The 27,948-nt window shown below is 50.8% G+C and overlaps 1 protein-coding gene across 11 annotated transcripts in view, besides 10 other annotated features; it reads left to right on the top strand.

Moving 5' to 3' along the window:
• Positions 1-27,948, top strand: part of GPR68 (G protein-coupled receptor 68) — a 38,259-nt gene that overhangs the window by 3,576 nt on the left and 6,735 nt on the right. For 2 of the 11 annotated variants that reach the window (NM_003485.3, NM_001348437.1), the window contains exon 1: positions 13,335-13,500. The exons of 1 other annotated variant lie outside the window; for it this stretch is intronic. The gene's annotated coding sequence lies outside the window, so the exon portion shown is untranslated. Of the gene's footprint in view, positions 1-2,643; positions 2,881-8,267; positions 13,501-22,510; positions 22,919-23,597; positions 24,107-25,127; positions 25,431-27,948 lie in introns of those variants that run through there. 8 more of the 11 variants (XM_047431790.1, XM_047431791.1, XM_005268112.4 and 5 more) reach the window with 8 other exon arrangements.
• Positions 2,198-2,833: a transcriptional cis regulatory region, noted in NCBI's record as "candidate enhancer chr14.1904 targeted for multiplex CRISPR interference". NCBI's record gives its function as "positively regulates GPR68 gene expression with high confidence in K562 cells {active_cell/tissue: K562}" and the evidence as "EXISTENCE:mutant phenotype evidence [ECO:0000015][PMID:30612741]".
• Positions 2,584-2,643: a silencer, noted in NCBI's record as "silent region_6021". NCBI's record gives its function as "represses an Ori minimal core promoter by ATAC-STARR-seq in GM12878 lymphoblastoid cells {active_cell/tissue: GM12878}" and the evidence as "EXISTENCE:reporter gene assay evidence [ECO:0000049][PMID:35858748]".
• Positions 12,557-13,088: an enhancer, noted in NCBI's record as "H3K4me1 hESC enhancer chr14:91720471-91721002 (GRCh37/hg19 assembly coordinates)". NCBI's record gives its function as "activates a minimal SCP1, AML or CMV promoter by ChIP-STARR-seq in naive H9 embryonic stem cells {active_cell/tissue: H9 hESC(naive)}" and the evidence as "EXISTENCE:reporter gene assay evidence [ECO:0000049][PMID:30033119]".
• Positions 13,089-13,620: an enhancer, noted in NCBI's record as "H3K4me1 hESC enhancer chr14:91719939-91720470 (GRCh37/hg19 assembly coordinates)". NCBI's record gives its function as "activates a minimal SCP1, AML or CMV promoter by ChIP-STARR-seq in naive H9 embryonic stem cells {active_cell/tissue: H9 hESC(naive)}" and the evidence as "EXISTENCE:reporter gene assay evidence [ECO:0000049][PMID:30033119]".
• Positions 13,089-13,643: a biological region, named in NCBI's record as "H3K4me1 hESC enhancer GRCh37_chr14:91719939-91720470".
• Positions 13,584-13,643: a silencer, noted in NCBI's record as "silent region_6020". NCBI's record gives its function as "represses an Ori minimal core promoter by ATAC-STARR-seq in GM12878 lymphoblastoid cells {active_cell/tissue: GM12878}" and the evidence as "EXISTENCE:reporter gene assay evidence [ECO:0000049][PMID:35858748]".
• Positions 13,674-13,823: a silencer, noted in NCBI's record as "silent region_6019". NCBI's record gives its function as "represses an Ori minimal core promoter by ATAC-STARR-seq in GM12878 lymphoblastoid cells {active_cell/tissue: GM12878}" and the evidence as "EXISTENCE:reporter gene assay evidence [ECO:0000049][PMID:35858748]".
• Positions 22,313-22,814: an enhancer, noted in NCBI's record as "H3K4me1 hESC enhancer chr14:91710745-91711246 (GRCh37/hg19 assembly coordinates)". NCBI's record gives its function as "activates a minimal SCP1, AML or CMV promoter by ChIP-STARR-seq in naive H9 embryonic stem cells {active_cell/tissue: H9 hESC(naive)}" and the evidence as "EXISTENCE:reporter gene assay evidence [ECO:0000049][PMID:30033119]".
• Positions 22,744-22,793: an enhancer, noted in NCBI's record as "active region_8901". NCBI's record gives its function as "activates an Ori minimal core promoter by ATAC-STARR-seq in GM12878 lymphoblastoid cells {active_cell/tissue: GM12878}" and the evidence as "EXISTENCE:reporter gene assay evidence [ECO:0000049][PMID:35858748]".
• Positions 23,874-23,983: an enhancer, noted in NCBI's record as "active region_8900". NCBI's record gives its function as "activates an Ori minimal core promoter by ATAC-STARR-seq in GM12878 lymphoblastoid cells {active_cell/tissue: GM12878}" and the evidence as "EXISTENCE:reporter gene assay evidence [ECO:0000049][PMID:35858748]".

Genomic DNA, 27,948 nt, shown 5'->3' with positions numbered 1-27,948 from the left:
AACAATTATTGTAAAATCCATACAACCAATTGATTCTTGCAGAAAGCTCATTGATTTTTTTGCTGGTGTATTTGTAGCCAACCTAGGCTTGCAACTGACAAATGAGCATAGCTTCAACACAAATGTGGTTGATAATTTCTTTCACGTTAACATGTAAGATGAAAGGGAAACAAGTCAAAGATGTATGTCAGAACTTCACTGAAAACATGAGTAACTTTGTTTAATCAAGTGGTAGTTTCTGAATGCTGAACAAATATTTCCTCAATTTTTTGTACTATTCCTATTATAATGGCTACAGATGCAACACACTTTTTTAAAAATTGAGATATAATTTACATACCATAATATTGACCCAAGGCATCTTCTCTATTTTTTTTAAGTCTAGAGACACTAGACAATGAAAAAATATATAAATCAAGCCCAAGTTTATAACATTTACCAATTTCTGTGCTATAAGTACTCTCACCATGGCCAACATCAAGCTGCCAGCACTGAACACATCACTTAACACGGAACTGATCTCAATCTTTGAGATTAAAAAATCTCAGTTTTTATTATTTATTTTTTTGAGATGGAGTCTCACTCGTCGCCCAGGCGGGAGTACAGTGGCACGATCTCGGCTCATTGCAACCTCCGCCTCCTGGGTTCAAGCAATTCTCTGCCTCAGCCTCCTGAATAGCTGGGATTACAGGCGCCCGCCACTACGCCGGGCTAATTTTTCTGTTTTTAGTAGAGACGGGGTTTCACCATCTTGGCCAGGCTGGTCTTGAACTCCTGACCTCATGATCCACCCGCCCCGGCCTCCCAAAGTGCCGAGACTGTACAGTTGTGAGCCACTGTGCCTGGCCTCAATTTTTTAAAAATCGAGATATAATTTATATATCATAATATTCACCCAAGACATCTTCTCTATCATTCTTAACAGGTATACATGACAGCCTTCAGAATAAAGACTAGACCCCCTCCAGTGAAGTCCAGAAACTTATATACTACCTCGAGGTTACAGACAGAATGGGGGCTTATGGGAGAGGGAGAAGAATTCTATTGAGGGATTATAAATGATTACTAGGGAGAACGATTGGATGGGGAACAGAAAGTAACTTGTAAAATTCTTTGGAATTTATATGATCCTTGGCAACAGTCACTGTCTTGAAAGAGTCTGTTCAGATGTGGTTACATTCTGGGTCTTCTTTGCTGTGAAGGGTAATGAGATAACGGGCGAACAAGAACAACTGTTCTCCTTGGTGATTCAGTCCTTTCTTTTTGTAGAAGGGGGAAAGTTTCTTCCAGTTTATTGATCTCTAAGGGTGTTGAATTCAAAATACTCACTATACCAGGGAGCCATATTTTGGGGTGAAATATTTTGGGATTTCCTTCACCAGAAAGAGATGCACCTCATGGTATAATATCACCACCATACAGATACAATAGGTGTAACCTGAAAGCATGGGCAAAAGTAAAATAATTAGGAAGTGGGGAGTCTTGAGTGTTACCTTTGCTTTTCATGTAAGTTACTCGATGGTAGGTTTACATAAGTTAATTGTTAATAATGGCTGTGCTGAACAACTGGCTTGCAAAATTCCTGGAAATTCACAGATGTGCTTTCACAAGCCAGCACAGGTCGGCTTGGCACAGGGAGCACCACCTCTTAGGGATGGGCTGCAGGGGAAGAGTCTGAATGATTGAGCAGAAATAACCAAAGGTGAAGAAGGAACGAGAAGAGAAGAGAAGCTAGGGGCTTTGCGGAGCTGACCGTCCTAAGGTGTACGCAGCTATGCCAGCCGCTGGCTGTCTCCTAGGCCATTTCCCTCTCATTTCTGCCCTCCCAGCCCCATGAAAGGCCTCAGGGAGAGGGGTACCAGGTGTGCAGGATGGCCACAGGGATCCGATTCCAAAGGTCTGCTGAGGCAGGCCCAGTAGCAGGCTCAGAGCAGAACAACCCAGCCGCCTCAGACTCAGCTGGCCCCAAACTCAGCCCTGGAAGAGCCTAGGTTTGAGAGACGTGGTTTTCCCGCACAAGGCACAGAGAATGGCCACTCGGGCTTGTCTGGAGGCTGGGAAACTCTGTCCCGGCTTCTCTCTCACCTTCCACCCTCCCTCCTTGCCCTTCTCCAGAGACAGCAGAAAGAGTCCGCCAGGGGAATGACAGACCCCAGGCCCGGGGGCAAGCCCGTCACCTCTCCATCCGTATGGGGTACAATGGTCTCCACCGGGCAGAGTCCATAGCCCGAAGTCAAGCGCAGAAATGTCCCCTCTCCAAGCTCCGGCCTTTTGGCCCAGCCCCACGAAGTTGGGTTCATCGTGTCACATCTGAGAGCAGAGGCAGAACCAGCTACCTGCTCCCCATCTCCCTTCCCACAAAGAGACCACAAATAGATAGGGGCAGGGATCCAGCCAGCCCGGCCGCAGGGAGGGAAACCTGGGCCCCTCGAGCCCCGGGGGGAGGGAGGTGCCCTAGGAGCTGTCCTGGCAGCCGCACCCTCCCCAGGCCGGTGGGGGTGCAGGTGCCCTGGTGTCCGGCGGGGCCTGGACTCTGTCCCCGTGGCGGGGTGGGCGGCGGAGCCTCCGCCTCCCGCCCGAGGACCCCGCACGGCGAGCTCCGCGCCGGTCCCGCCACGCCCCGCAGGCGCCGTCCCCGCGGCCACTCCCTCCCGCGGGCCCAGCCGAACCGCGGCCGCGCTTCCTGCACCCGGGACCCGACAGAGGTGAGTGCGCCGGGCGGCCGGGGCGAGGGTTGACGGCGGCGCCAGCGCGGGGACGCACCCGGGAACGGCTGACCTTCAGCGAGGCCGGCTCCCCGCCAGCTACCGGGGCGGAAAATTCAAATCCAATCTGTGGAATAAAGGCCTTCGGGGGAAGTGGAGCAGGAGAAGGACTGGGGTAGGTCTCTGTGCTAGGATAGGATACAAATGGATGGGGCTCTTGGGGCCCAGGGACTTCCCACCCTGAGGGTGTCATGGAGTGGCGTCTAGGGGGACGGCAGGCCAGAGGGGCTCCCTTGCCCAGGGTTCCTGGAGTGGGGGCAGATCTCAAAAGTCCAGCACTGTCCAGACCCAATGAGGACATGACCTTTCACAGGTCAGCTGCAGCTGAGGCACCGAGAGGAACACTACGGGAGGAGTCCAAGGACCCGGGCCCAGGCGGGAGGTCTGGGCTCCGTGGCAACTCTTAAAGCTGGGGAAATGCTATTCCACCCGGGCCCAGAGAGAGGAGAGAGGCGAAAGGAGGAGGGAGGGGCACACTAATATTTACTGAATGCCCGCCTGGTGCCAGGTACTTCTCACACATTATTTAACTGCCTCGTTTTATCCTTCCATCTTCCCTCATTCATTTATTCAGCAAAACGGGCACTCTGCTGGGCTTTGGCCTGAGCTGGAGGGAGCTGGTCACTGCCCATGTAATTCACACTTTACATGGGAGACAGACTGTAATTCAGAGCGACCGCACGCTACATGGGAGACAGACTATAATTCAGAGTTACCGATGGGAGGTCTGCACTGCTTCTCCTTCTTGCCCAAGATGATCAAAATCAAACTAAGTGGCCCCCAGCAATACACTCCTGGGCCAGTGAGCCCCCACCATCAACATTCAAGGGCCCCTTCTGTATCCACAGCATCACACACACCAGTCACTGAGAGAAGTCCTAGGATACCTCTTAGTCACTTTTGGGTTTCAGTTCAGAATCACCTCTTCCAGGAAGGCTTCCCTGACTTCCCGCCCTCCAGACCAGGTGCTTTTTACTTTGGCTCCTGAGGCGTGGCTCCTCCCTGCCCATTATCCTCCAATCATAGCTGTTATCAGAATGTTGTTCTTGCTGTATTCATCCTGGTTTTCCCTTCTAACCAGTTTCAAAAAATCTCAGCCCCCTCAAGTTCCATGTCTAGTATATACATCATGTTTTTATTTGAATATTTTACCTTGGGAGCTGGATTACCGCAGGACCTCCACTCAAAAAATGGAAACTCGAAACTTATGTCTTACCATCACTATTTTCAGATTCCGTCTGTGCTCCTCAATTTCCTGGGCAGAGTTCATCATTTCCAGGCCCCTGTGGTACAAATTCTGTTACCTCTGATTGACCCCTGGGGCTCCTGACTGAGGAGAGAGAGCAGATAGTAACCCACCTTCTAAAGAAAGTAGCTCCACTTCCAGCTCTCGAAGACTCTCAGCCTCCAAATGCTCTCCCTCTAACCCCAGTTCTACTCCCCGCCCCGCCCCTCCCCGCTGCCCCGTACTGACAGTGTGTGTTGGGGGGTGGAGATTGCAAGGTGGAGGGGGCTGCTGTTGGTGGAAGTCCTGATTAGGGAGTGGAGTCAGGCCCCACCACTAAAGAGGACCTAGACCCAGTGGTCAATTCCAAGGCAAGGGGGAAAATCCCACTCTTGGTTCTATTACACAAATATATTATTTTTTAAAAAGAAATTACAATCTACTTCCAGAAATAGAAAATCAGTACCCCTTGCCACAAAAAGAAGGTAATTAAACAAATAAAAGTGAGGGACTAGGCAGAAGTGTTATTAAACTTTAGCACCTGTGAACATACCTGAGGCCTGCTCTCTAGGCTAAAAAAGGAGATGAGCAAGAATGAGAGTGGTGTTAAAGCACCCATGTGAGGCTTTCTCCTTAGTGTAATAAGACAGATTAAGAAAGGATTGGGACCGGGTGTGGTGGCTCACGCCTGTAATCCCAGCTTTGGGAGTGGATCACTTGAGGTCAGGAGTTCGAGACCAGCCTGGCCAAACACGGTGAAACCCCCGTCTCTACTGAAAATACAAAAGTTAGCCGGGCATGGTGGTGCACGTCTGTAATCCCAGCTACTCTAGAGATGAGGCAGGAGAATTGCTTGAACCCAGGAGGCAGAGGTTGTAGTGAGCAGAGATTGCGTCACTGCACTCCAGCCTGGGTGACAGAGCAAAACTCCATCTCAAAAAAAAAAAAAAAAAACGGCTCTGACGGGAATAACAAAAATAATCACTGACTCCTTCAGTCAGCACCTGCTGAGTGCAGAGAGCCCAGCAGTGCCTGGAGTGATATAAAACAAACCTTCAGTTAATCTTGTTATCAACTAAAGGGCTACTTCTTCCAGGAAGTCCACCCTGATGTGCCCCTTCACAAGCTAAACCTCTCCTGCTGTAACGCTTGCCATGTTTCATTGCAATGGCATATTGTCTTCCACTCCTGAGTATAAATTTCATAAGAACAACCACTAGAGCCAGTTGCGGTGGCTCACGCCTGTAATCCCAGCACTTTGGGAGGCTGAGGCGGGCGGATCACCTGAGGTCAGGAGTTCAAGACCAGCCTGACCAACATGGTGAAACCCCGTCCCTACTAAAAATACAAAATTAGCTGGGCGTGGTGGCACATGCCTGTAATCCAGCTACTTGGGAGGCTGAGGCAGGAGAATTGATTGAACCTGGGAGGCAGAGGTTGCGGTGAGCCAAGATCATGCCATTGCACTCCAGCCTGGGCAACAAGAGCAAAACTCTATCCCCAAAAAAAAAAAAAAAAAAAGAACAACCACTAGGTCTATCTTGTTCACCTCACTGTCCTGGCACCGGCTCCACCCTGGCCCCACAGCCTAGAGCACAGGTGTTAAATGAGCTGATGAACGAATAATGAATGAATAACTGAGTGAGCCTCCCTGACTTCCAATTATGCCTTTCTTTCCTTCTCCCTGCCCTCCTCCCTGTCCTTATCCAAACCCTCCATCCTTCAAGGCCCTGCCAGGGGTCCGGCTTCTCCAGAGGCCTTTTTAAACCAACGGATCCACCCTAAGCCCTCTTGCCCCAGAATATTCCATCGCTGGCAATACGCATACCCAGGGCACATTCAGTTCCATGGTCTGGTGTGTTCCCCACACCTCCAGAGGGCAGGGGCTGTGGGTGACACTTAAACCACAGGTGCTCAGGAAACACTGAGGAGTGACTCCACATGGTCCAGCCTCCAAGTACAGAGCTGTGTTGGGTCTCAACAGCTGTGTTAGTTTCCTGTTGCTATGGAACAAATTACCACCAACTAACTTAGTATCTTAAAACAACACACATTCATTATTTTAGAATTCTAGAGGACAGAATAGAGTCTCACGGGGCTAAAACTAAGGTGTTGGCAGGGCCAGCCAGGTCCTTTGTGGAGGTCCAGGGGAGACTCCATTTCCTTGCCTTTTTCAGCGTCTCAGGCCTGCCTGCATTTCTTGGCTTGCGGCCCCTCCCATCTTTAAAGCTGACAGTGGATGGCGGAGCCCTTCCCTCTCTACATCACTCAAAGTTTCTCTTCTGCCTCCTGTTTCCACCCTTGTGATGACACTGGGTCCACTTTGATAACCCAGGATCATCTCCCCATCTCAAAATCTCTATCACATTTGCAAAGTCCATTTAATGTGTAAGGTAACATGTTCACAGGTACCAGGGATTAGAATCCAGTCATCTTTTTTTTTTTTTTTTTTTAACAGACAGAGTCTTGCTCTGTTGCCCAGACTGGAGTACAGTGACACGATCTCGGCTCACTGCAACCTCTGCCTCCCGGGTTCAAGCGATTCTCATGCCTCAACCTCCCAAGTAGCTGGGACTACAGGCATGCACCCCCACGCCCAGCTAATTTTTTTTTTTTTTTTTTTTTTTAGTAGAGACAGGATTTTGCCATGTTGGCCAGGCTGGTCTCAAGTGATCCGTGCGTCTCGGCCTCCCAAAGTGCTGAGATTACGGGTGTAAGCCACCGCGTCCAGCCAAGGCCACATTCATCTTTGAGGGCTGTTGTTCTGCCTACCACAGTAGTAGCTGTCCCTTGTAGTCACAGGACACACTGGCTGGTGGAATATTCCTAGTAGCTGACATTTACTGCTCCAGGCACATTACATGACACTCCATGAGTTAGGTGCCATCATTGTCATTTTACAGATAAGGAACAGAGGTTAAATAACTTGGCATGTGGCAGAGCTGGGATTTGAACCTAGGCAGTGGGGCTCCAGGGTGCACCTTCCTGGCCTCTTGGCTACACTGCCTCTCTGGCACCATTATTGCCCTCAAGATGCCTGGAACAGGCCAAGAAGATCTGAAGCCCAGCTCAGGAGGAGAATTTTCTCCAAGGTTTTCTAGGTAAGGCCCCTGTTTAGGCTACAAATTCTCTGCCAGTGATCTCTCATTTCAGCCCTTTCTCACCCTCCCACACCATCCACACTCTATTATAGGCACCTAAGCCGTGATCCAAGAGGGCTGGAGGGAGAACTGCCAATGGTTTTCTTCAGGGGTCCCAGGCAGTTAAGGCTGGAAAAGTTTCTGTGTGCCAAATACCACTCACATCCATCCCTGTCCTCCCCCAGCACCCGCACACCAAGTCACGTGAGCCCCACAGGAGGCAAATCTTATGTAGCAAATCAAAGAAAAGTAATCACCATTTACCCAGCTCACTGCCACAAAGAAGCCTGCACCCTTAAATGAGATTGGAACACATACGCCTTCCATGGGCATCGGGGGAAGAAGGGATGGCTTAACATTTATTAATTGAGCATTACTAGGGTCAGGCACAGTTCTAAGCGTTTTATACTTACTAACTCAGTTAATACAACAACCCTGTGCAGTACTGTTTTGTTGTTGTTGTTGTTTTGTTTTGTTTTTGTTTTTGAGACAGAGTCTTGCTCTGTTGCCCAGGCTGGAGTGCAGTGGCAGGATCTCGGCTCACTGCAACCTCCACCTCCTGGGTTCAGCAATTGTCCTGCCTCAGCCTCCTGAGTAGCTGAGATTACAAGCGGCCACCACCATGCCTGGCTAAGTTTTGTATTTTTAGTAGAGACAGGGTTTCACCATGTTGGCCAGGCTGGTCTTGAACTCCTGGCCTCAAGTGATCTGCCCGCCTCAGCCTCCCAGTGTGCTGGGATTACAAGCATGAGCCATCGTGCCTGGCCCAGTACTTATTATTATTATACTCAGTACTTATTATTATAATAATACTCAGTATTATTCCCATTTTACATATCAGGAAACTAAGGCACAGAGAGAATGTCACTTGTTGATGGTCACATAACCAGTAAGTGGAGGAGCCAGGATTGGGGCCGTTCTCCCTAAGCAGGGAACCAAGGCAGAGGCTGACCAGAGCTGAATAGCCCCAGCCTGGGTCATGCTACTTCCGTCAACAAAGCCCCCTCTTGTGCCTTCCCAGCATAACCTGTTGTTTTTGGACCTGGCAAGGCTGGTTTCCTGGTTTCTATGTCAACCACACTTCCATTTAATTAATTTATTTCCATTCCTTTTTTCTTCTTCTTCTTTTTTAAATAGAGACAGATTCTTGCTATGGCTATGGCTACAGTCTTACCCAAGCTCTTCTTGAAGCCCCGGCCTCAAGTGATCCTCCCACCTCAACCTCCCAAGGTGCTGAGATTACAGGCATGAGCCATCATGTCCAGCCTTCAACCAGATTTCTTGACAGCACCTTTATATGTGATTCTTACACCAATCTTCATTGTTAACCCCATTTTAAAGAAGCAGAAACCAAGGCCCAGGGAGGCTACATAACTTGCCAGAGCTCTCAGAGCCAAAAAGCAACAGATGTGGAATTCAAACCCGGGCATTCAGATGCCCAAGTTCCCTGCACTCCCACTCTCCCAAACTGCCTCAGCCTGAGCAAGCCCAACCTGAAGCCTTCCTCCTGGAGTCCAAAGTCCAGCCAGGAATGTGACATGGGCTCCCCAGCCCTCCAGATGTGTGTGCTCACACTTTGTCTGGACTTGTTCCTCCTTGGCCTTCGAACGTTCTGCCCTCAGATGTCCCCATTAGTCACAGTCTGTCTGAGAGCCCTCGGATTAGCTGGATGGGAGCAGACGCAACTTTGTGGTGGTCATCAGGTTGTCCCATTCATCAGCTCAGGCCTGAGCCTGCTGGAGTGTGGTCGTTGCCAGAAACAATAACTCTTAGGAAAGAAAACCAGCCTCTTTCTGCCTGAAACTGTCCTGAGAGGTGCTTGACTCAGCATCGGCAATTATTTCCCAGAAGGAAAGTTACCGACCTGATTCGGCAGCCGCGTGCTCCGCTCTAGAAAGCTCATGGTGACGGGAAGCACAGGACAGGGGTGGATCAGCAAGAGAAGGCTTGGGCCTGAGCAGAGACTGAGATGAGCTGGCGCTAGAACCGAGGGAGGAAGTAGGGACTCATTCTGTTGTTTAGGGGATAAAGAGAGATTTCCGCGAAGGCTAGCCAGCTGTGCTAATTGGAAGAACGAAGTGGAAAAACAGTGATTTTCAAAAGTAGATCATCTGTGCACATTCTGAAATATATGCACATTTTTCCATTAGTATGAGTTTGCAGTGAGGATGTATCTGATGCATCCGTTTCTGTATCAGTCAGACTCAGCAGGAAGCAGATGGCACCCTCAAGCAGGGTAACTGATGAGAGTTTAACACAAAGGTGTGGACAGGGTTAAGGGATGGTGCCACACGGTGGGACGGCCATGCCTCAGGAGCTGTTACTAGCCCTAGGCTTGCAGGAAGAAGGAAGAGACAAGTGCAGGACAGGGACTCCAACAGGAACTGAGCTGACATCTTCAGCCGAGGGAGGCAGCCAACCTGAAGTGACCCTGGCAGAGTGGATAAATACTGCCGGGTCTTCACTCTCCTCCCATCCTCTGATCTCCAGTTAGTGCTTCCTATCACCCAAATCTAACAGACGCTGGAAGGCAGGGTGCCGGGTGACATCATCCTTAGAGTAGGGGGATGGAGACTGGATCTGGATAGGTGGATAGAAAGTATGCAGCACATTGCTGGTGCAGGAGCCTCTTTCACACATTCCTTTGGCTGCCATTTTCTGGACACCTGCAGTGTGTCACTCTGGGTTTGACACTGGGGAAATGCAGTGAATGAGCTGTCCTCAGGCTCTGTGTAGAGATTCTGCCTTTACAGATGCCAGGATAAAAAGAAAATCCCACAAGTGACTGGAAAAGAAGAAATGGATGCAAACATCACTGGCACTGGGGGTGGTGAATTTCAGACCATGTCTCTGGAGCCCAGCCCAATGTGGGAGATAATTTCTGTGGGCGAGACAGATAGTTATTAGTGCAGCATTTCCAATCAGCATTTCAAAAGCGTAGGTCATAATTTACATTCTCTAGGCTCAGGAAGGTTCTGGAAGACAATATGTGCTTAATTTACCATTAGTGAGCTGTTTTGTTGCTTGTAAAGCCAGGTTTTATTTACAAAACAACAAATTCTGCTGTCTCTGCCAAGGACTGGACATCTTGACACCAAGAAACATAGCAAAATCCAGTCAAAAGTGACTTTGCAAGCAGTATGATGAATTTCTATATGGTTCTCCAGCTCCAGCATTTTCTTAGGGAAAGCATGGCCAGAAATGCCCAAGTCTGTATTTTGGCAACAGCCCAAGCTTCTCAGACTCCACTGGCCAGTTCCAGATCTTTAAGTAACTATAATAAGAGCCATGCTGTCTGTCTCTAAAAAGTGAAGCATGAATCAAAAGTGACTTTGTTTTAATTTAACAGCATTGAGACTGTGAAAGGCACTGGATATGTTTAGGCACCTGTAAACGGAGAATGTGGGGTGAAAAAAGAGAGGCATAGCTGGGTGCGATGGCTCACGCCTGTAATCCCAGCACTTTGGGAGGCTGAAGCAGGCAGATCACTTGAGGCCAGGAGTTTGAGACCAGCCTGGCCAACACGGTAAAACCCCGTCTCTACTAAAAATACTAAAAATTAGCTGGGTGTGGTGGCACACGTCTGTAATCCCAGCTACTTAGGAGGCTGAGGCATGAACATTGCTTGAACCCAGGAGGCCGAGATTGCAGTGAGCCAAGATCATGCCACTGCACTCCAGCCTGGGTGACAGAGGGAGACTCTGTCTCAACAAAAGAAAAGAAAAAGAGAGGCAGGAGACAGGGCCACCAAGTACTGGCACACTGTGCCAACTCCAGGGACCACCAACTGATAGATTGCAGCATGCACGGCACCCTTGAGGTTGTGCAGTGTGGTAGCCCTGGCAGGATTCATTCTGTAATACATTTTCTACAGGGCATGCTCTGTACTCCTGATAGTCAGAGTCCTCGATCTGGCAACTGACAATGAGCTTTAAAACAGCCCACCTCTTTCCTAGAGAGATAAGACGAGGCAGAACAGAATCATTGGAAGAAACAGCTTCAGAGTCAGAACTCCTGTCAAGTCCTGGCTCAGTCACTTGGGAATTGAGTGGCCTCAGGCAATTTATGAAACCTCAGTTTCCTGATCTGTGAAATGGAGAGAATAAAACTACTTGTTTTGGAGATGAAAAGAGATCATGCACAGGCACTAAGGACACAGGAAGCATTTACAAGATAAGAGCAATTGAGCCTGCAGTGAGCCGCCACTGTACTCCACTGTACTCTGGGGGACGACAAAGTGAGACCCTGTTTCAAAAATAAATAAATAAATAATAAATGATAAGAGCTGCAAATAAGAGGATATTTGGAATGTCCAATGACAGTGATAATAACAGCTAACATCTATTGAACCCTCATGTGTGCTGGGCCTTGAGCTAAGGGCTTTACTTGGTTTAACTCATGTAATCATCTTAGCCCTCATTTGAAGATGTGTCTCCATTTCACAGATGGAAACAGGCACAGAGAGGTTAAAAGACTTGTCCAGGGTCACCCTACTAGCGCGTAGTACAACTGGAATTCAAATGCTGACACTGGCTTTCAACGCCAAACTCTTCACAACTACATTCAGTTTGGCAACTTTTAGAAAGCAGATGTGAATTTTTATGGCATAGTCAACCCAGAAAATTCCACTTGTGAGGACTTTCTAAGGAGGAATTTCAAAATGAAGACCAGCAGAGGAGGCTTATCCAGCCTCTTAGCCTGCTGGGATGTTGCTGGGGTAGTGCCCAGTGAGAAAAGCAAATCCTCCCGCCTCCACACTCCCTGTGCCTCTCTCTGCCTCCTCCTGCTCCCCGGCCTTCCCCCGCTAGGGCACCTTCTGTCCTCTTACCCACTGTCCATCCTTCTGGAGATTCACCTAGAGGCTAAGTCACACCGTGTGGAGCACTGAGCCACCTAGAGGGGTTAGCAGAAGGTGAGATGTTTGCTCTCTTTCTCCTTCTACCTCCCCTGCCTGCAGTTCCAATCACCCTTCATCCCTAACCTGCAACCATCTGTCCTGACAACCGCCCAACCTTCTGCAGACTCTTGCCGTGACAGTTCCAGACATTCATTTCACAAATAGGAATGGGGGCACCCTGCTTTGAGCAGGATAACTGGGCTGAGAGCAAGGGCCCTGTAGAGAGACAGCTGTGTGCCAGCGACCCCAGCGGCAGTGCAATGCTGGGAAAGGGGCTAAGGGCACACAGCAGGGTTCAGCACACATTACCTGGGGCAACCAAGAATGCTCCCTAGGGGAAGTGACTTGGGGTCTTAAGATGGGGGCAGGAGTTCAGGAGGTGGGAAACAGGAGGTCTATAGAGTGGGGAGGGCCACAGGAGCCAAGGTATGCAATTGTGAAAGAGCAGAAGGAAACAGCCAAGGGTGGCTTGGGACAGGATGTGGGTAGGAGGAGGGCTTCTGTACCCAACTGCCTGGATTTGAATCCCGAGGCCTCTACGTACCACCTGTGTGACCTTGGGCAAGTTGTTTGCCCTCTCTGTGCCTCATTCCCCTATGTATAAGATGGGAATAACAATACTGTCTACATCATAGAGCCCTGAACATCAAATGAGTTAATGTAATTAAGTACTTAACAACAGAGCCCAGCACACAGCTGTGCTCAATAGATGCGGGCTGGGACTATTATTACTATTATCTGTGAGGATGTGGGGCAGAGGGGCCTAAGGCCTCCTTGAATTATCAAGAAGGTCAGTAGGAGGTCCTCTAAGCCATCCCTGCGGCAGACAGGCTCCGGCTCTGAGGAGCACCGGGCAGGGACCCAGGAGGCTGCAAACCTAAGTGCAGATCCCCAGGCTGGGCTGGACAGGCTGAGGTCAGGGCAGGTGCAGAGAGGCCCAGAGCTGCAACACCGCACTTCATTTATTGCGTGGCTACTGATTTGCCCGTGCTGGGCACACGGACGTGGTAAAGGACAGAAGGGCTACTCCTGGACTGTTCTCTGGGCTTCTCACCCTGCGGTTGTGGTGAGAGGCTGCTGACAGCCAGGGCACCCGGGAGTGGGCGTGGCTGGAGAAGGACCCCTGTCCTTTTACAGCTAGGCCCACTCTGAGCCCCACGCAGTGTTCTAGAGCCTGTCCCCCCAGGGCAGGATGGTAGTGGGGGCAGGGGTCCCTGAGCCATTGCGGCCCTTCCCGGCAGGCGCCAAGCCTAGGGGCTGTGGTCAGCGTGAAAGGCAGGGCATGGACCCTCACTCAGGGCTGCGTGTGCCCGACGTGGGTGGGGGGGGCGTGGAATCGGAGCACAACTTGGCCCTGCGTTCCCAGGAAGGGACCCGAAGACCTCCCCAGGCCACCCCGCCATCTGCGTGCGCGCTGGCAAGAGGAGGGGCGCGGGGTAATGGTGGCCGGCGCCACAGCCCCGCGCCGCGCAGGTAGGTGTCCCCGCGAGCCAACCCCTTTCTCTCGCCTCGCCTGTGGGTCCCCGGCGCGCCGGACCCCGGAAACCGCGCGCGGGCCAAGGCCGGGTCTCGGCACCTCCCCCGGAGCGGCCCCGCGAGCGCGGGGGAACCGGGCGGGCCAGTGCGGGTGCAGGCGCGTGCGCGTGCGAGGCGGGGGCGCGCCCCAAGCGAGGCCGCCGGGGCGTGGCGGGGGCGGGAGACGCGGCAGCGGCCGGGACCGCGGGTGTCTGTCCGCGAGCGCCGGCGCGGCCCGGTCCCTGTCCCGGGCGGGGCGTCTCCGCCTGCGGTCGCCGCCCGGGTTAGCAGCCGCCCCCTCGGCTGGCTCCGCGGCCACCTGGTAATTACTCCCGCCCCCACAAAAAGTGCGAGACACCGCGAGCCCTTCATTTCCCAGAGCCCGGCCGCACCGGCCATTCCGAGTCCGTTTGGGCCTTTACATCCCCCAGATCTGCGCGGCCCCTCAGGGCAGCCCTGAGATCCCGACAGCTCCCCCTGCCACCGATGAGGGGAGAGCTGGCTCACTGCTCGGTGGGCTGGGGCAGCGCCAGGTGGGGTCCTAGGTTGCAGGCCCCCCACCCCCCAACTACTCCGCCAAGCAAATGGCCCAACGGAGGCAGCAGGGTCCAGGTGGTCCTCTGGGTGGTCCCCCAGCTGGAGAACAGGGGCTGCGGTGGCGAGAGGGCACAGGCAGGGGAGAGAGCCCTGCCTTGGAGCCAGAGGCTGTGTAGCTTTGCGCAGGTCACCTGCTGTGGCTGGGCTTCTGTAAAACTGAGATGAAAATGTTAGCCATTGTCACCTCACTGAGGTGTGAGGCTGGTTTGAGAGTCTGCAAATCTGAGATGCTATAGTTACGTTTGGCTTTACTCCCTCTGCCCCTACCTGCACACACAGGATCGCTTCCAAAAGGAGGCAGGGAAACAAATTCCTGAGCTCAACAGTGGAAGTGGGGCTGGACAGTGAGGATGCTGTGGACTGTGGGCTTTTCACTTGCCAGCCCAGTTCCAGAACCAGATAGTCTAAGTCCAATCCCAGCTCTTCCATATTTTAGAGCTATTACTGGGCAAGTCGCTTTTTTTTTTTTTTTTTTTTGAGATGGAGTCTTGCTTTGTCACCCAGGCTGGAGTGCAGTGGTGCAATCTTGGCTCATTGCAACCTTGACCTCCTGGGTTCAAGCGATTCCCCTGCCTCAGCCTCCCAAGTAACTGGGACTACAGGCGCCCACCGCCATGCCTGGCTAATTTTTGTATTTTTAGTAGAGACGGGGTTTCACCATGTTGGTCAGGCTGGTCTCGAACTCCTGACCTCAAGTGATCCGCCTGCCTCGGCCTCCCAAAGTGCTGGGATTACAGGCGTGAGCCACCACGCCCAGCCTATGTTGTCTCTTTCTAAGCCTCTGAGTTTTCTGTGAAATGGGCAACATAGTAGGGCGGTTATGGGATTGCACAGGTGAAATCCGACCTTGAAAGCCTTGCAATGTCCTCTGAATGTCAGCTCCGCCCACTTTTATTATTACTGTCATACCACACGCTTCTGGGTAAGGTGCACACTGTCAGAAGAGAAGACTCAGCTAACAGGAAACAAAGTGGAAAACAGGTTCAAGGCAGCAAATGTAAAGTGTGAAGGTGTCCAGAGGTTGGTGGACTTCAGTGGGTGGACCCAAAGAGGGGCTGGTGACTGAAGACCCCTGAGGGAAGGAGGAGCACTTGGCACCAGCCACGGTGAGGATGATGATGATGGTGGTAGAGGAATGAGCTTTAGCATCAGAATTCCTGTTTCATCTTTCCTAGCTGGTTGGCCTCAAACAAGATATTTTAACTTTCTGAGTCTCACTATCTCATAGGGAGAGTGGAGATGATAATACCTACACCTCAAGGAATTGTTATAAAAATTGAAATCAAATAATTATATGAATGAATCCAGCACATGATAGGCCCTAAAGTGATTTGGGGAGACAAATAATTTATGTTCCTGTTATCTATTGCTGCATAACAAACCACATTTAAAGATATTAACTTAGACCGGGCGCAGTGGCTCACGCCTGTAATCCCAGCACTTTGGGAGGCTGAGGCGGGCAGATCACGAGGTCAGGAGATCGAGACCATCCTGGCTATCACGATGAAACCCCATCTCTACTAAAAATACAAAAATTAGCCGGGCATGGTGGCAGGCGCCTGTAGTCCCAGCTACTCGGGAGGCTGAGGCAGGGGAATGGCGTGAACCCGGGAGGAGGAGCGTGCAGTGAGCAGAGATCGTGCCACTGCACTCCAGCCTGGGTGACAGAGCAAGACTCCGTCTCAAAAAAAAAAAAAAAAAAGAGTAGCGGCTACGTGTTTACACTTCAGTATACCCAACCCAACTTGCAAGTCTTCCTCCTGATTAGTTGGCAGTCTTTCTTGCAGGGCTTGGTGGGGATGGCTCATCTCTGCTCCTTGGAGCATCAGCTGAGATGGCCCTACTAGGGGATCCTCATCCAGGATGACATACTGGTATGCAAGACAAGTCGAACCTGGCTGTCAGCTAGGGGTGCAGCAGGGGCTGCTGGCCAGGGTTTGGTTCCGCTCCATGTGGGCCTGTCATCGAGGCTGCTTGGCTTCCTCACAGCATAGCACTTAGGTTTCAAGAACAATTATTCCCAGATGACAGGAAGTGGGAACTGCCAGTCTCTTCAGGCTTAGCCTCAAAAACCGGTACAGTGTCGCTTCCATGCTATTTCTGTTGGTTAGGCAGTCAGAGGGCCTGCCTAGGTTCAAGGGAGGGAACTTAGACCCCCACTTCTCAACGAGGAAAATCTCAAACAGTTTGCAGCCACCTTGGGTCGGCCACAACTTGAGTCTTCTCTTCTGCATTTTTTTTTTCTGGGTGCCATGGTGATGAATTAATGAATCTTTTGCAAAAGTTGAAGTGTTTCTCCCAGGAGAAGGACCTGCAGAGACAGACATGGGCCTTATCACAGTCCATTTTGGTCAGAATCAGTATCTCTGGGCCTGACACAGGGCTAAGGGAGCAAGCATCCTACCCAGTGGCCTCTCTAGCATCATTTTCCCTGGAACCTCTGAGGCTTCAATCCCCAGCTTTGTCAACCCTGGGGACAAACAAGAGGGAGAAGCCAACAAGAGAGCAATTTGGATTCAAGAAAATAGGTTTGGGCAGGTGGCCCGGGGTTGAGTGTAATGAGCATATTTGAAGCTCTCAAGTCGCTGGAGAAGTCTGTTTGTTTTTCAAGAGGGCTGCTTCCTGTGTGTTTGGAGTGACTGTTGTCATACATTATTAGGTTATTAATTGATGGGCTGGAGCACTCTGCAGGCAGTGGGGGCAGTAGGCCACAGGGGTTGCCATGGCAACCTCCAGGTCTGTGGTCTGTGCTGCGGCTGCAGACAGGAGAGATGCCCCAGGCAGCTCAGACCTTCTCAGACCACAGACTCTCCTGGCTGCAAGTCCCCGGTTCAGCACCAGGAAATGCACTTCCACGTAAGGCCACTCACTCACACCCTGAGAGTCCAAACCAAGCCTCTTCTTGTTGCCTCATCCTATATCCTGACTGTTTCCACCAGATTGTTAGTTTCTGACTTCAATTTTAGCCACGCTGGCCTTCCCAGCAGGCTACAGGAAGAAGCAGAATTTAGATTCATTTATTCACCCAAACGTTCGGCATGTTTTTGGTGTGCACGGTGCCTAGCAAAGAACAAAATAGACCCAGCTCCTCCTTCCCCAGGCAGCTTCCTGTGTAAAGGGGAAGATAGGCATTAACCAATAGTCACACATATTTCCATGCATTACATTGGTGAATATTAAAATACAATGATGGACCAGGTGCGGTGGCTCATGCCTATAATCCTAGCACTTTGGGAGGCCAAGGTGGGCAGATGGCTTCAGCTCAGAAATTTGAGACCAGCGTAAGCCACATGGTGAGACCTTGTCTCTACTAAAAATACAAAAATCAGCCAGGCATGGTGGCATGACCCTGTAATCCCAGCTACTTGGGAGGCTGAGGCACAAGAATCGCTTGAACTCGGGAGGTGGAGGTTGCAGTGAGCCAAGATCGTGCCACTGCACTCCAGCCTGGGCAACAGACGGGAGACTTGTTTCAAAAAAATAAATAAATAAAAATAAAAATAAATAAATACAATGATGGAACCAATCCCTTGCATATACTAAAAAATTTTTTTAAAAATACAGTGAGCTGGGCGTGATGGCCCATACCTGAGTCCCAGCTACTGGGGAGGCTGAGGCGGCAGGATTGCTTGAACCCAGACTTTCGAGGCTGCAGTGAGCTATGATCGCACCATTACACTCCAGCCTGGGTGACAGAACAGGGACCCCATCTCTAAAAATTAATTAATTAATTAAAAATGAAAACACAGTGAATTCAGACCTTGAATTGAATACCAGCACTGCTGCTTGCTTGCCAGCTGTGTGACCCTTGGTCTTGGATAGCCCTGAGCTTTCAGTGATAAAGCTGGGATGATATTTACCTGGTGGGTTGCTGTGAGGCATCAAGGCAGCCTATGGAAAGCTCAATGCCTTGCTTATACTGGGAGCTCAAAGCAGGTGAGCACCCACCCTGCATCCCCTTGCTCAGCACCCGTTTGTCATTTAGAACCTCAGGCCACCTTCTTTCTGTGTGAAGCATGTGTGAGGAGCCCTTGTCCCAGCTCCCTTGTACCACAGTGATAAAAACACTCAGAGCTCAATTTTTCCTTCCTTCCCTCCCTCCTTTTCTCTTCCTTCTTTCCTTCCTTCCTTCCTCCCCTCCCCTCCCTCCTTTCCTCCCTTCCTTCCTTTGGGTCTTTCTCTGTTACCCAGGCTGGACACTACAGCCTCAAACTTTCAGGCTCAAGGGATCCTCCCTTCTTGGCCTCCCAACTAGCTGGGACTACAGGTGCGGGCCACCACAACCAGCTAATATTTTAAATTTTTGTACAGACAAGGTCTCACTTTTTTGCCCAGGCTGGTCTCAAACTCCTGGCTTCAAGCAATTGATCCTCCTGCCTTGGCCTCCCAAAGTGCTAGAATTACAGCTGTGAGCCACCATGCCTGGCCCTTTCCATTATCAAGTATTTATTTAGTCCAAACACTTGTGCAGCATTATAGCAATTGCCATGGGGATACAAGAGATAAAGGTGGTCCTCAGTTCATGTTAGAAGGGCAGAATCAGGCCGGGCGTGGTGGCTCACACCTGTAATCCCAGCACTTTGGGAGTCTGAGGAGGGCAGATCACGAGGTCAGGAGATCAAGACCATCCTGGCTAACACGGTGAAATCCCATCTCTACTAAAAATACAAAAAATTAGCCAGGCGTGGTGGCGGGCGCCTGTAGTCCCAGCTGCTCAGGAGGCTGAGGCAGGAGAATGGCGTGAACTCGGGAGGCGGAGCTTGCAGTGAGCTGAGATTGCGCCACTGCACTCCAGCCTGGGTGACAGAGCGAGACTCCATCTCAAAAAAAAAAGAAGGGAAGAATCTCGGGCCCTACCCCAGACCTACTGAACTGAACCAGAAGATACACTAACAAGATTCCTGGGAGATGTATAATACATGCACACTAACATTCGAGAAGCAGCGCTGTACAGGGTTTTTGTTTTGTTTTGTTTTGCTTGACACATGGTTTCACTCTAGTCGCCCAAGTGTGATCTCGGCTCACTGCAACCTCCACCTTCTGGGCTCAAGCAATTCCCCAGCCTCAGCCCCCTGAGTAGCTGGGACTACAGGCACATGCCACTGCACCCACCAATTTTTTGTATTTTTTGTAGAGACGGGGTTTCACCATGTTGCCCAGATTGGTCTCAAACCCTGAGTCAAGCAATCCACCCGTCTCAGCCTCCGAAAGTACTGGGATTATAGGCATGAGTCACCTCACCCAGCCAGCACTATACAGGGTTTTAAGTAAGTATCACAAGGTGGGTGTGGGAGGCAGAATAATGCCCTCTCTAAAGAGGCCCAGTTCTTAATCCCCAGAACCTGCCACTGCGTTACCTTACGTGGCAAAGGGAGATTAAGGCAGCAGGTGGAATTAAGACTCCTAATCAGCTGACCTTAAAGTAAGGAGTGATCCAGCATTGTCACAAGCAAGGACCCTTTGAAGTGGAAGAGGGAACATGAGAGTCAGAAGAGGAGATGTGATGTGAGAAGGACTCAGTTGACTGCTGTAGGCTTTGAAGATGGAAGATGCCACAAGCCAAAGTATGCTAGAAGTCTCTAGAAGCTGGAAAGACAAGGAAATGGATTTTAGAGCCTCAAGAAAGAATGCGGCCCTGCAGACTGCAGTTTTGATTTTAGCCAGTAAGATCGATGTCATGCTTTTGACCTCCAAAACTGCAAGATAAGAAATCGATGTTGTTTCAGCCAGCCACGGTGGCTCACGCCTGTAATCTGAGTACTCTGGGAAGCCAAGACAGGTGGATCACTTGAGGCCAGTAGTTTGAGACCAGCCTGGCCAACATGGCAAAACCCCATCGCTACTAAAAATACAAAAATTAGGGCCAGGTGTGGTGGCTCACGCCTGTAATCCCAGCACTTTGGGAAGCCGAGGTGGGCGGATCACCTGAGGTCGAGAGTTCAAGACCAGCCTGACCAACATGGAGAAATCCCATCTCTACTAAAAATACAAAATTAGCCAGGCATAGTGACACATGCCTGTAATCCCAGCTACTCAGGAGGCTGAGGCAGGAGAATAGCTTGAACCTGGCAGGTGGAAGTTGCCGTGAGCCGAGATCACGCCATTGCACTCCAGACTGGGCAACAAGAGCGAATCTCAAAAAAAAAAAAAAAAAAAAAAAGTTAGCCTGGTGTGGTGGCGCATGCCTGTAATCCTAGCTCCTTGGGAGGCTGAGGCAGGAAAATTGCTTGAACCCAGGAGGTGGAGGTTGCAGTGAGTGGAGGTGGTACCACTGCACTCCAGCCTGGGCAACAGGATAATCCCTGCCACACAGAGTTGATATAAGGATTAAACAAAGGATGGGCACAGCACCTGGTGCAAAGCAAATGCTCAGGAAATGGTAAAGGGAGCTCTTGGCACTGAGCCACTCCAGGCTATTTTCTAACTCCTTGAGGGCCAAGCACATGAGAGAGCATGGGCTCTTTTTTCTCTTACTGAGCTAGCATTTCACAAAGACCTGGGCTCAGCCAATTTGAGTAAAACCAAAGAAAGTTTCACCCCTCCTTCATCCCAAAGGCATGGTCCTTACTCCAGGTGCAGTAGGGCACATGCTGCCAGCAGAGGGGCTGGGGCAGCTTGCCAGCCCCTGGCAGGGCTGGAGGCGGGAGGGGACACCATGCCATTAGTGGTTCCTGCAGGTATAGACGATGATGGTGTAGACGGCCGGTGTGTGCACACCCTGTTAGGACAGGCCACCCCGTAGAGGGCCAGAGGTGCTCTCTCTGGCAGGTTGTGTCCTAGGGGTAAGCCAGGCAGTCACTGCTAAGTCAGTTCTGTGCTCCTAACCCCGCGTCCTCCTATATGACATCAGGGAAAGCCAGCCACACTTCCGCAACTCAGAAGTAGCACGTGTGTCTAAATGCACGCTACTGCACCACAACAAGCTGAAGCCTTTGCTCGTAACATAAGGCCTGCAAGAAGCAACTGACGTAGGAAACTTTTTTTTTTTTGAGACGGAGTTTCGCTTTTGTCGCCCAGTCTGGAGTGCAATGGCATGATCTCAGCTCACCGCAACCTCTGCCTCCCAGGTTCAAGTGATTCTCCTGCCTCAGCTTCCCGAGTAGCTAGGATTACAGGCATGCGCCACCACCCCCAGCAAATTTTTGTATTTTTAATAGAGATGGGGTTTCACCATGTTGACCAGGCCGGTCTCCAACTCCTGACCTCAGGTGATCCACCCGCCTCGGCTTCCCAAAGTGCTAGGATTCCAGGCGTGAGCCACCGCACCTGGCCGGAAATAGTTTTTAAAAGGCCTGCTATGTGGTAGCATTTGCTTGGAGGGCCCAGGCCCCACTGAAGGGGATTTCCTTAGACCCCCTACCAACAGAGTGAGGGCAGTGGAGCCAAGGCTCTTGGCATGAATAAGATGGGCATCAGTGTTTTAAACTGTGTTGGTCCCCAGAGCAGGGACCAAGCACAGGGCTCTGGCCACTTCCAGCAGGAAGGACTCGCACCCCCAGTGGCCCCATGCACCGTATCTGTTGGCTTCCTGGCTCTGGCAACGTAGCTTATAATCAGCTTCCAAGGAGTCTGCCTTGGAGGGAGGTGGTTACGCCAAAATGCTGGGCCTTTCCATCCTCCGTGTTATGTGTGTGAGGGAGGGAGTTTAGTAAGTGCTCCTGAGAGCCAGAAGGGCCCCCGGGGCCAGAGCCCTGGGCTTGATTCCTTCTCTGGGGACCGACACAGTTGAAAACATTGATGCCCGCCCTATCCTTACTGATGCCCAGAGCCTTAGCTCCACTGCCTTCGCTCTGCTGCTCTGCCAAACAGGATCCTACCTGCTTCACCACATCCGTGGCTGCCCACCTTCACTGCACTTTAGAACAGTCCAGGGAGCTTTAGAGCCACTGATGCTGGCACGTCACTTCCAGGAAACATGATTTAACCAGCCCCGGGTGGGGCCCGGGCATTGGTATTTTTTTTGTAGGCTCCCAGGTATGTTCTCATGCACATGGCCAGGGTTGAGCCCCAGTGACCCAGATGTTGGCGGCTTCCCCCACCCTTGCCTGGATCCCGGTATCCTGTAGGTGCTGAAAGGTGGCTAGAATTAGCCCACCCCCTCCTCCTGTATCCCCCCACCACAGTCCTGAGGGCACCTGCCCCTAGCTCAGGCTTTCACATTCCCAGCGAGGCTGCTCACTGACTCTGGGTTGCATGGAGAGCAGAGGAAGATGCGTGGAGAGAGCCATTCCGCCGCCCTCAGCCTCTGGCTGGCGAGTGGTTCCTCGGCAACCGCCCAGCCTGACACCAGATTGGAGTTCACATGATTCTGCCTCAGCTCGGGAATGGGCAGCCTCCAGCTGGGGATTTTCTAGCCGGAGCTGGGAGGTTCAGGCTGCGGGAAGTCGCTGGAGGGAGAGCTGGGATCGTGGCTGCAAGGGTGCCCAGGCTCCTGCAGAGCCTCTGCAGGAAGCCCAGCTGTTTGAGGTTTGAAGGCAGAGCCTAGCTGGGGCAGGCAGAGTCAGAGAGGACTCGTTTCAGAGTCCCCCCTCAGAGGACTCCCTCCATCCTGATTTCAGCAGCTGCCTGCTCCTCACCTGGTTGCAGAGACCACACTGCCTTCCTGGGGCCCTGAGGCTCTAGGAGAAGCTGGAAAGCACAGGTGGGGGTCCATCCAGCTGTTTCCAAACTGCGGGTTGTGACCCATTCATGGGTCAGTAAATCAACTTCATAGCTCATGACCTGCATTTAAAAAATTGAAATAGAATAGAAATGATCAGAGTGCGTGGCAAGAAGTAGGGTAAGTATTGCTTTGGGGAAGTTTGTTGCTTTGTACAGATGTGTGTGTGTGTGTGTGTGTGTGTGTGTGTGTGTGTGTCTGTGTTCTGGGTCGCGATGTCAGGTGTATTTCTTGCTATTGCTTGTGATCCAAAAAGCTCAAAGGCAGCAAGTTGGTGCCTAGACACGTGGGTTCTGGATTCAGATCCACCCCAACTGACTGTGTGAGTTTGAGCCTCCCTGCATTAGCCTCTCTGGGCTTCAGGTTCTGAGAAATGGCTTAGCAATGCCAGCCCACCTGACTCACAGGGACTTCGTGGGCCCAGATGGGACTGACCTTTGAAACAGTGACAAGGGTTCTAGAAGTGAGATGCTATGGTCCACGTTGTTGCTGGAGTGAGGCGATCTGGGGGGAAAATGGGGACTAAGGAAAAATGCATCCTGATGTTTCCCCTCTCCTCAGAGGGAAAAATAAAGCACTTTCAGAAAATGAAACAGCCTTGCTTAAAGCATGCAGAGGTTTGGCCAACTGAAGGAAAAGGAAGCTGGGCCCTGGGGAAACTCCCCAGCTCTTGTGGGTTTGGGGTTCCGTGAGCAGCCCTGGCACCATGAGTAACTGTCTGTGTGCGTGCCGGTGTGTGCTGCACGAAAGGGGGGGCGAGTTAGATCACTATTTATGTGCCAGCTGGAATCCAGCATTTAGGCACCTCCGCCTTCTGACTTGGGACATGCAAGAGACTCCTAGCTTAGTCAGAGAGGCCTTTCCTTCCTGTTGGGAGCTTAATTTCTCTTGGTCATTAAAGTCCTCAGAGACCTCTATGCTGATTTGCATTTGCTAAAGATTTGCTTTCAGGCGTTGAGTCACTCTATAGTTTTTCTCAATTTTTTAGCTGGGTAATAAAGTGTTATTTTGATTCTTTTCTCCAATGCCTTCCCAAACTACGGACTGGCCACGTGGCTGGTTTTCCTCAGTGGGCGTTGAAAACATGGTTGACCTGCTAAAGCATAGTCCAGGTGAAGGGGCCAGGCCAGGACCAAGCCTGGTGGCCATTGCTGCAGCATCTGTGAGGACTGGAGCTTGGCTGAGCTGGGGGCTTGAGGGTGGTGGTTCTGGGATGATCATGATAGTCAGCACAGCATGAAGGAAAGTATGGACCAGTCCGAGTTCCAGACCTGGCCTGCCGCATCTCAACTGCAGAGACTTCAGCAGGTTGGTTCATCTCTCTGAGCCTCAGTTTCTTTATCTGTAAAGTGGGAGCTGATGAGAGTGGTGTTGAAAGAGAGAACAGACATTCAGAAACTTGCCTGGCAAGTGCAGGGCCCTCGACAGATGTGGCTTAGTTCTTCTCTACATCTACGTTTTTCCATTTATGGAATATTTTCGCATCCACTGTGTTCTTTGATTTTTGAGGAGGAAGGTTCCTGTGGAGATGAGGTAGAGGGCAAGTCAGAGTTTCCATCTGGGGGTGCCTGTCCTCAGGGAACAGTAGAAGGGAAGGCACTGGTGAAAAATCAGGACCCTCAGACCAGCTCAGGCAGGCTGAGCAGAGAGGGGACCACGGTGATTCCTCCTCCTCACTTTCCTGTTTCTATTAATGATATCCTCACTGTCCCAGCACCCAGCCTCAACCCCCCACCACTTACCTATCCACTCACTCACCTACTCACCTACTCACCTATCCACCCACCCATAATCCATCTGCCACCCATTCCCTCATCCATCTATCCATCTTCCCCTCACCTGTGCATCCATTTACACATTCACCCATCCACTTAGCCACCCACCCACCCACCCACCCACCCTTCCATCAGCTCACCTATCCACCCACCCATACGTCCGTCTGTCCACCCATTCACTCATCCCTCTATCCCTCTACCCCTCACCCATGCATCCATTTACACATTCACCCATCCACTTATCCATCCACCCACCCATCTATCCACTCACCTCTCCAGCTGCCCATATATCCATCTATCCAGCCATCCAGTCATCCATCTATCTGGCTACCCCTATCCCTCCATTTACTCATTCACCCTCCCACCTCTCCACCATCCATCCAACAAATAATTCTGGGGAGGCTATAAGGACCAGGCACCAAGAAAAATCTCCAATTTGCCCCTGGTTGTTCCCCACCTCCCTTGTAATTACTTGCCAGTTCTACAGCTTCACACTGTTTCCTCTCTCGCCCTGCCTACCTCTTATTTAGATCCAGTCACACCAACCTACTTTCAGTTCCGCAGAGCTGCCCCTTCTCTTCCTCTTGCATTTCGTCTGTTTCCACACATTTTCCACAGGTAGAAACTCTCCTCTGCTTCGGCAGCACTTCCTCTTTCTTCTGATCTTACTGTAACTGCCGATGCTCAGGAAGGCCTTTCCTGACAGGGTGAGGCCCCCACCCGTGAATCCTCACAAAACCCTGCGCTCTCTTTGTGAGCTTGTTTCACTTATCTTCTCTCCTCCGCCTTAGGACTAAAAACCACTTGTTACTAGGGGCCAGTGTCTAGTGTTGTGCCTTCCATATAATAGACACTCGGTGAGTATTTGCTGTATGAATGAATACTTGGGTGGACGGATGGATGAATGGATGATGGATGTTTGAATGGATGGATGAACAGATGGATGGATGGGTGGATGATTGGAGAACCATGGAAGCATTTGCAGCAGGGTGTGACTGGGTTAGATTTCTGTTTAGAGGATGGCTTTGAGGATAGTAAGATGGAGACAGGAAGCAGCCCAGGAGGAGGCTGTTGCACTGACTCTGGGAAGGAGCTCTTGACCAAGCCCATCTAGGGTGCTGGCAAGAGAGCTGAAGAGGAGGAGATGGATGTAGGAAATACTTAGAGTTGAAAATGGTAGAACTTGGAAATTAACTGGACGCTGTGGATGAAGATGTGGGTGAAAGCTGAAGGCCAGCCATTGACATGAATGATTGGGCAGGTGAGGAGGCCCCTTCCAAGAACAGGGCAGTGGAGAAAATGATGGACCCAGCGTGGGCCTCACTGAGCGTGTCCTGTGAGTGGCAGGAAGCTGGTTATGCCTTCATCCTGGGAAAGACCTGGGAGTCATCAGAGTGTAGATGGGGTTGAAACCACGGAGAAGCAGCCATCCCACAGGGAGTGCACAGGGAATAAAAAGGGCAAACCAGTGTTTAATGTGTGTGGCAGAGAGGCCCACTGCACCCACCATACACTGCCTTGCATGATAGTGATTTGTGCATGGGACATTCCTGTCTTTCGAGCTTGGAGGTTCCTTGAGACTGGCAGCCATTTCTTGCATTTTGTTTGTTTTGAGATGGGGGGTCTCACTCTGTCACCCAGGCTGGAGTACAGTGGCACGAACATGGCTCACTGCGGCCTTGACCTCCTGGGCTCAAGCGATCCTCCCACTTCAGCCTTCTGATTAGCTGGGACTATAGGTGTGCACCACCATGCTTTGCTAATTTTTAAATTTTATGTAGAGACAGAGTCTTGCTGTGTTGCCCAGGCTGGTCTTGAATGTTGCGGGAAGTCAGGGACCCTGAATGGAGGGACCGGCTGAAGCCATGGCAGAAGAACATAAATTGTGAAGATTTCATGGACATTTATTAGTTCCCCAAATTAATACTTTTATAATTTCTTATGCCTGTCTTTACTGCAATCTCTGAACATAAATTGTGAAGATAATCATGGACATTTATCACTTCCCTCATCAATACTCTTATGATTTCCAATGCCTGTCTTTAATCTCTTAATCCCATCATCTTCGTAAGCTGAGGATGTATGTTGCCTCCGGACCCTGTGATAATTGCGTTAACTGCACAAATTGTTCGTAAAGCATGTGTGTTTAAACAATATGAAATCTGGGCACCTTGAAAGAAGAACAGGATAAAGCGATGTTCAGGGAACAAGGGAGGTAACCATTAGGTCTGGCTGCCTGAGAGCTGGGTGGAACAGAGCCATATTTCTCTTCTTTCAAAAGTGTATAGGAGAAATATCGCTGAATTCTTTTTCTCAGCAAGGAACAGCCCTGAGAAAGAGAATGCATTCCCAGGGGTAGGTGTCTAAAATGGCTGCTCTGGGAATGTCTGTCTTATACAGTTGCAGATAAGAGATGAAATAAGCCCCAGTCTCCCATAGCGCTCCCAGGCTGATTAGGATGAGGAAATTCCCGCCTAATAAATTTTGATCAGACTGGTTGTCTGCTCTCAAACTCTGTCTCCTGATAAGATGTTATCAATGACAATATGTGCCCAGTGGGACATGAAACTTCATTAGCATTTTTAATTTCGCCTCGGTCCTGTGATTTTGCCCTGCCTCCATTTGCCTTGTGATATTTTATTACCTTGTAAAGCATGTGATCTCTGTGACCCACACCCTATTCATACACTCCCTCCCCTTTGAAAATCACTAATAAAAACTTGCTGGTTTTGTGGCTTGAGGGGCATCATGGAACCTGCCGACATGTGATGTCTCCCCTGGACACCCAGCTTTAAAATTTCTCTCTTTTGTACTCTTTCCCTTTATTTCTCAGACTGGCCAACACTTAGGGAAATAGAAAAGAACCTATGTGAAATTACGTTAAATTATCGGGGGTGATTCCCCTGATACTTGAACCCCTGGGCTCAAGCGATCCTCTCGCCTCAGCTAGTGCTGAGATTACAGGCGTGAGCCATCACACCCGGCCCATTTCTTGTTGACCTCTAGGTCCTCCATGTCTAGCTTGGTGCTGTGAACATCCGAGATGCTCTACACACACTTGTGCAGTGAAAGCCAGGGTACTGGATAGTTCAAGCTGCTTCATCTGTCTGACCTTGGTTTTCTCATCTCTAAAATGGACACATCTCTAAATGGCTGTTTTTAAAATTGGACAAGAGAACAGAAGTGAAAAGCTCTGTAAACTGTAAAGTATTTTGCAAATAAAAGGTGTAAGTGCTCAGGTTTAATCGCTTTTTCTTGGGGCCTCGAATCAGCCGGGAGACATCCCAAGGGCTGCGACCTGGTTGTGCCCACAAGGTCCTGCTGGATCACATTCCCCTGCCAGCTTCCTCTGTTTCCCTGCCTTGGGAGCTCTTG

The sequence above is a fragment of the Homo sapiens genome, chromosome 14 (assembly GCF_000001405.40).
Source record: "Homo sapiens chromosome 14, GRCh38.p14 Primary Assembly".
NCBI classification, from domain to species: Eukaryota; Metazoa; Chordata; class Mammalia; order Primates; family Hominidae; genus Homo; species Homo sapiens.
Note: the sequence above shows the minus strand (reverse complement) of the source record. Positions and strands in the feature narration are given on the sequence as shown.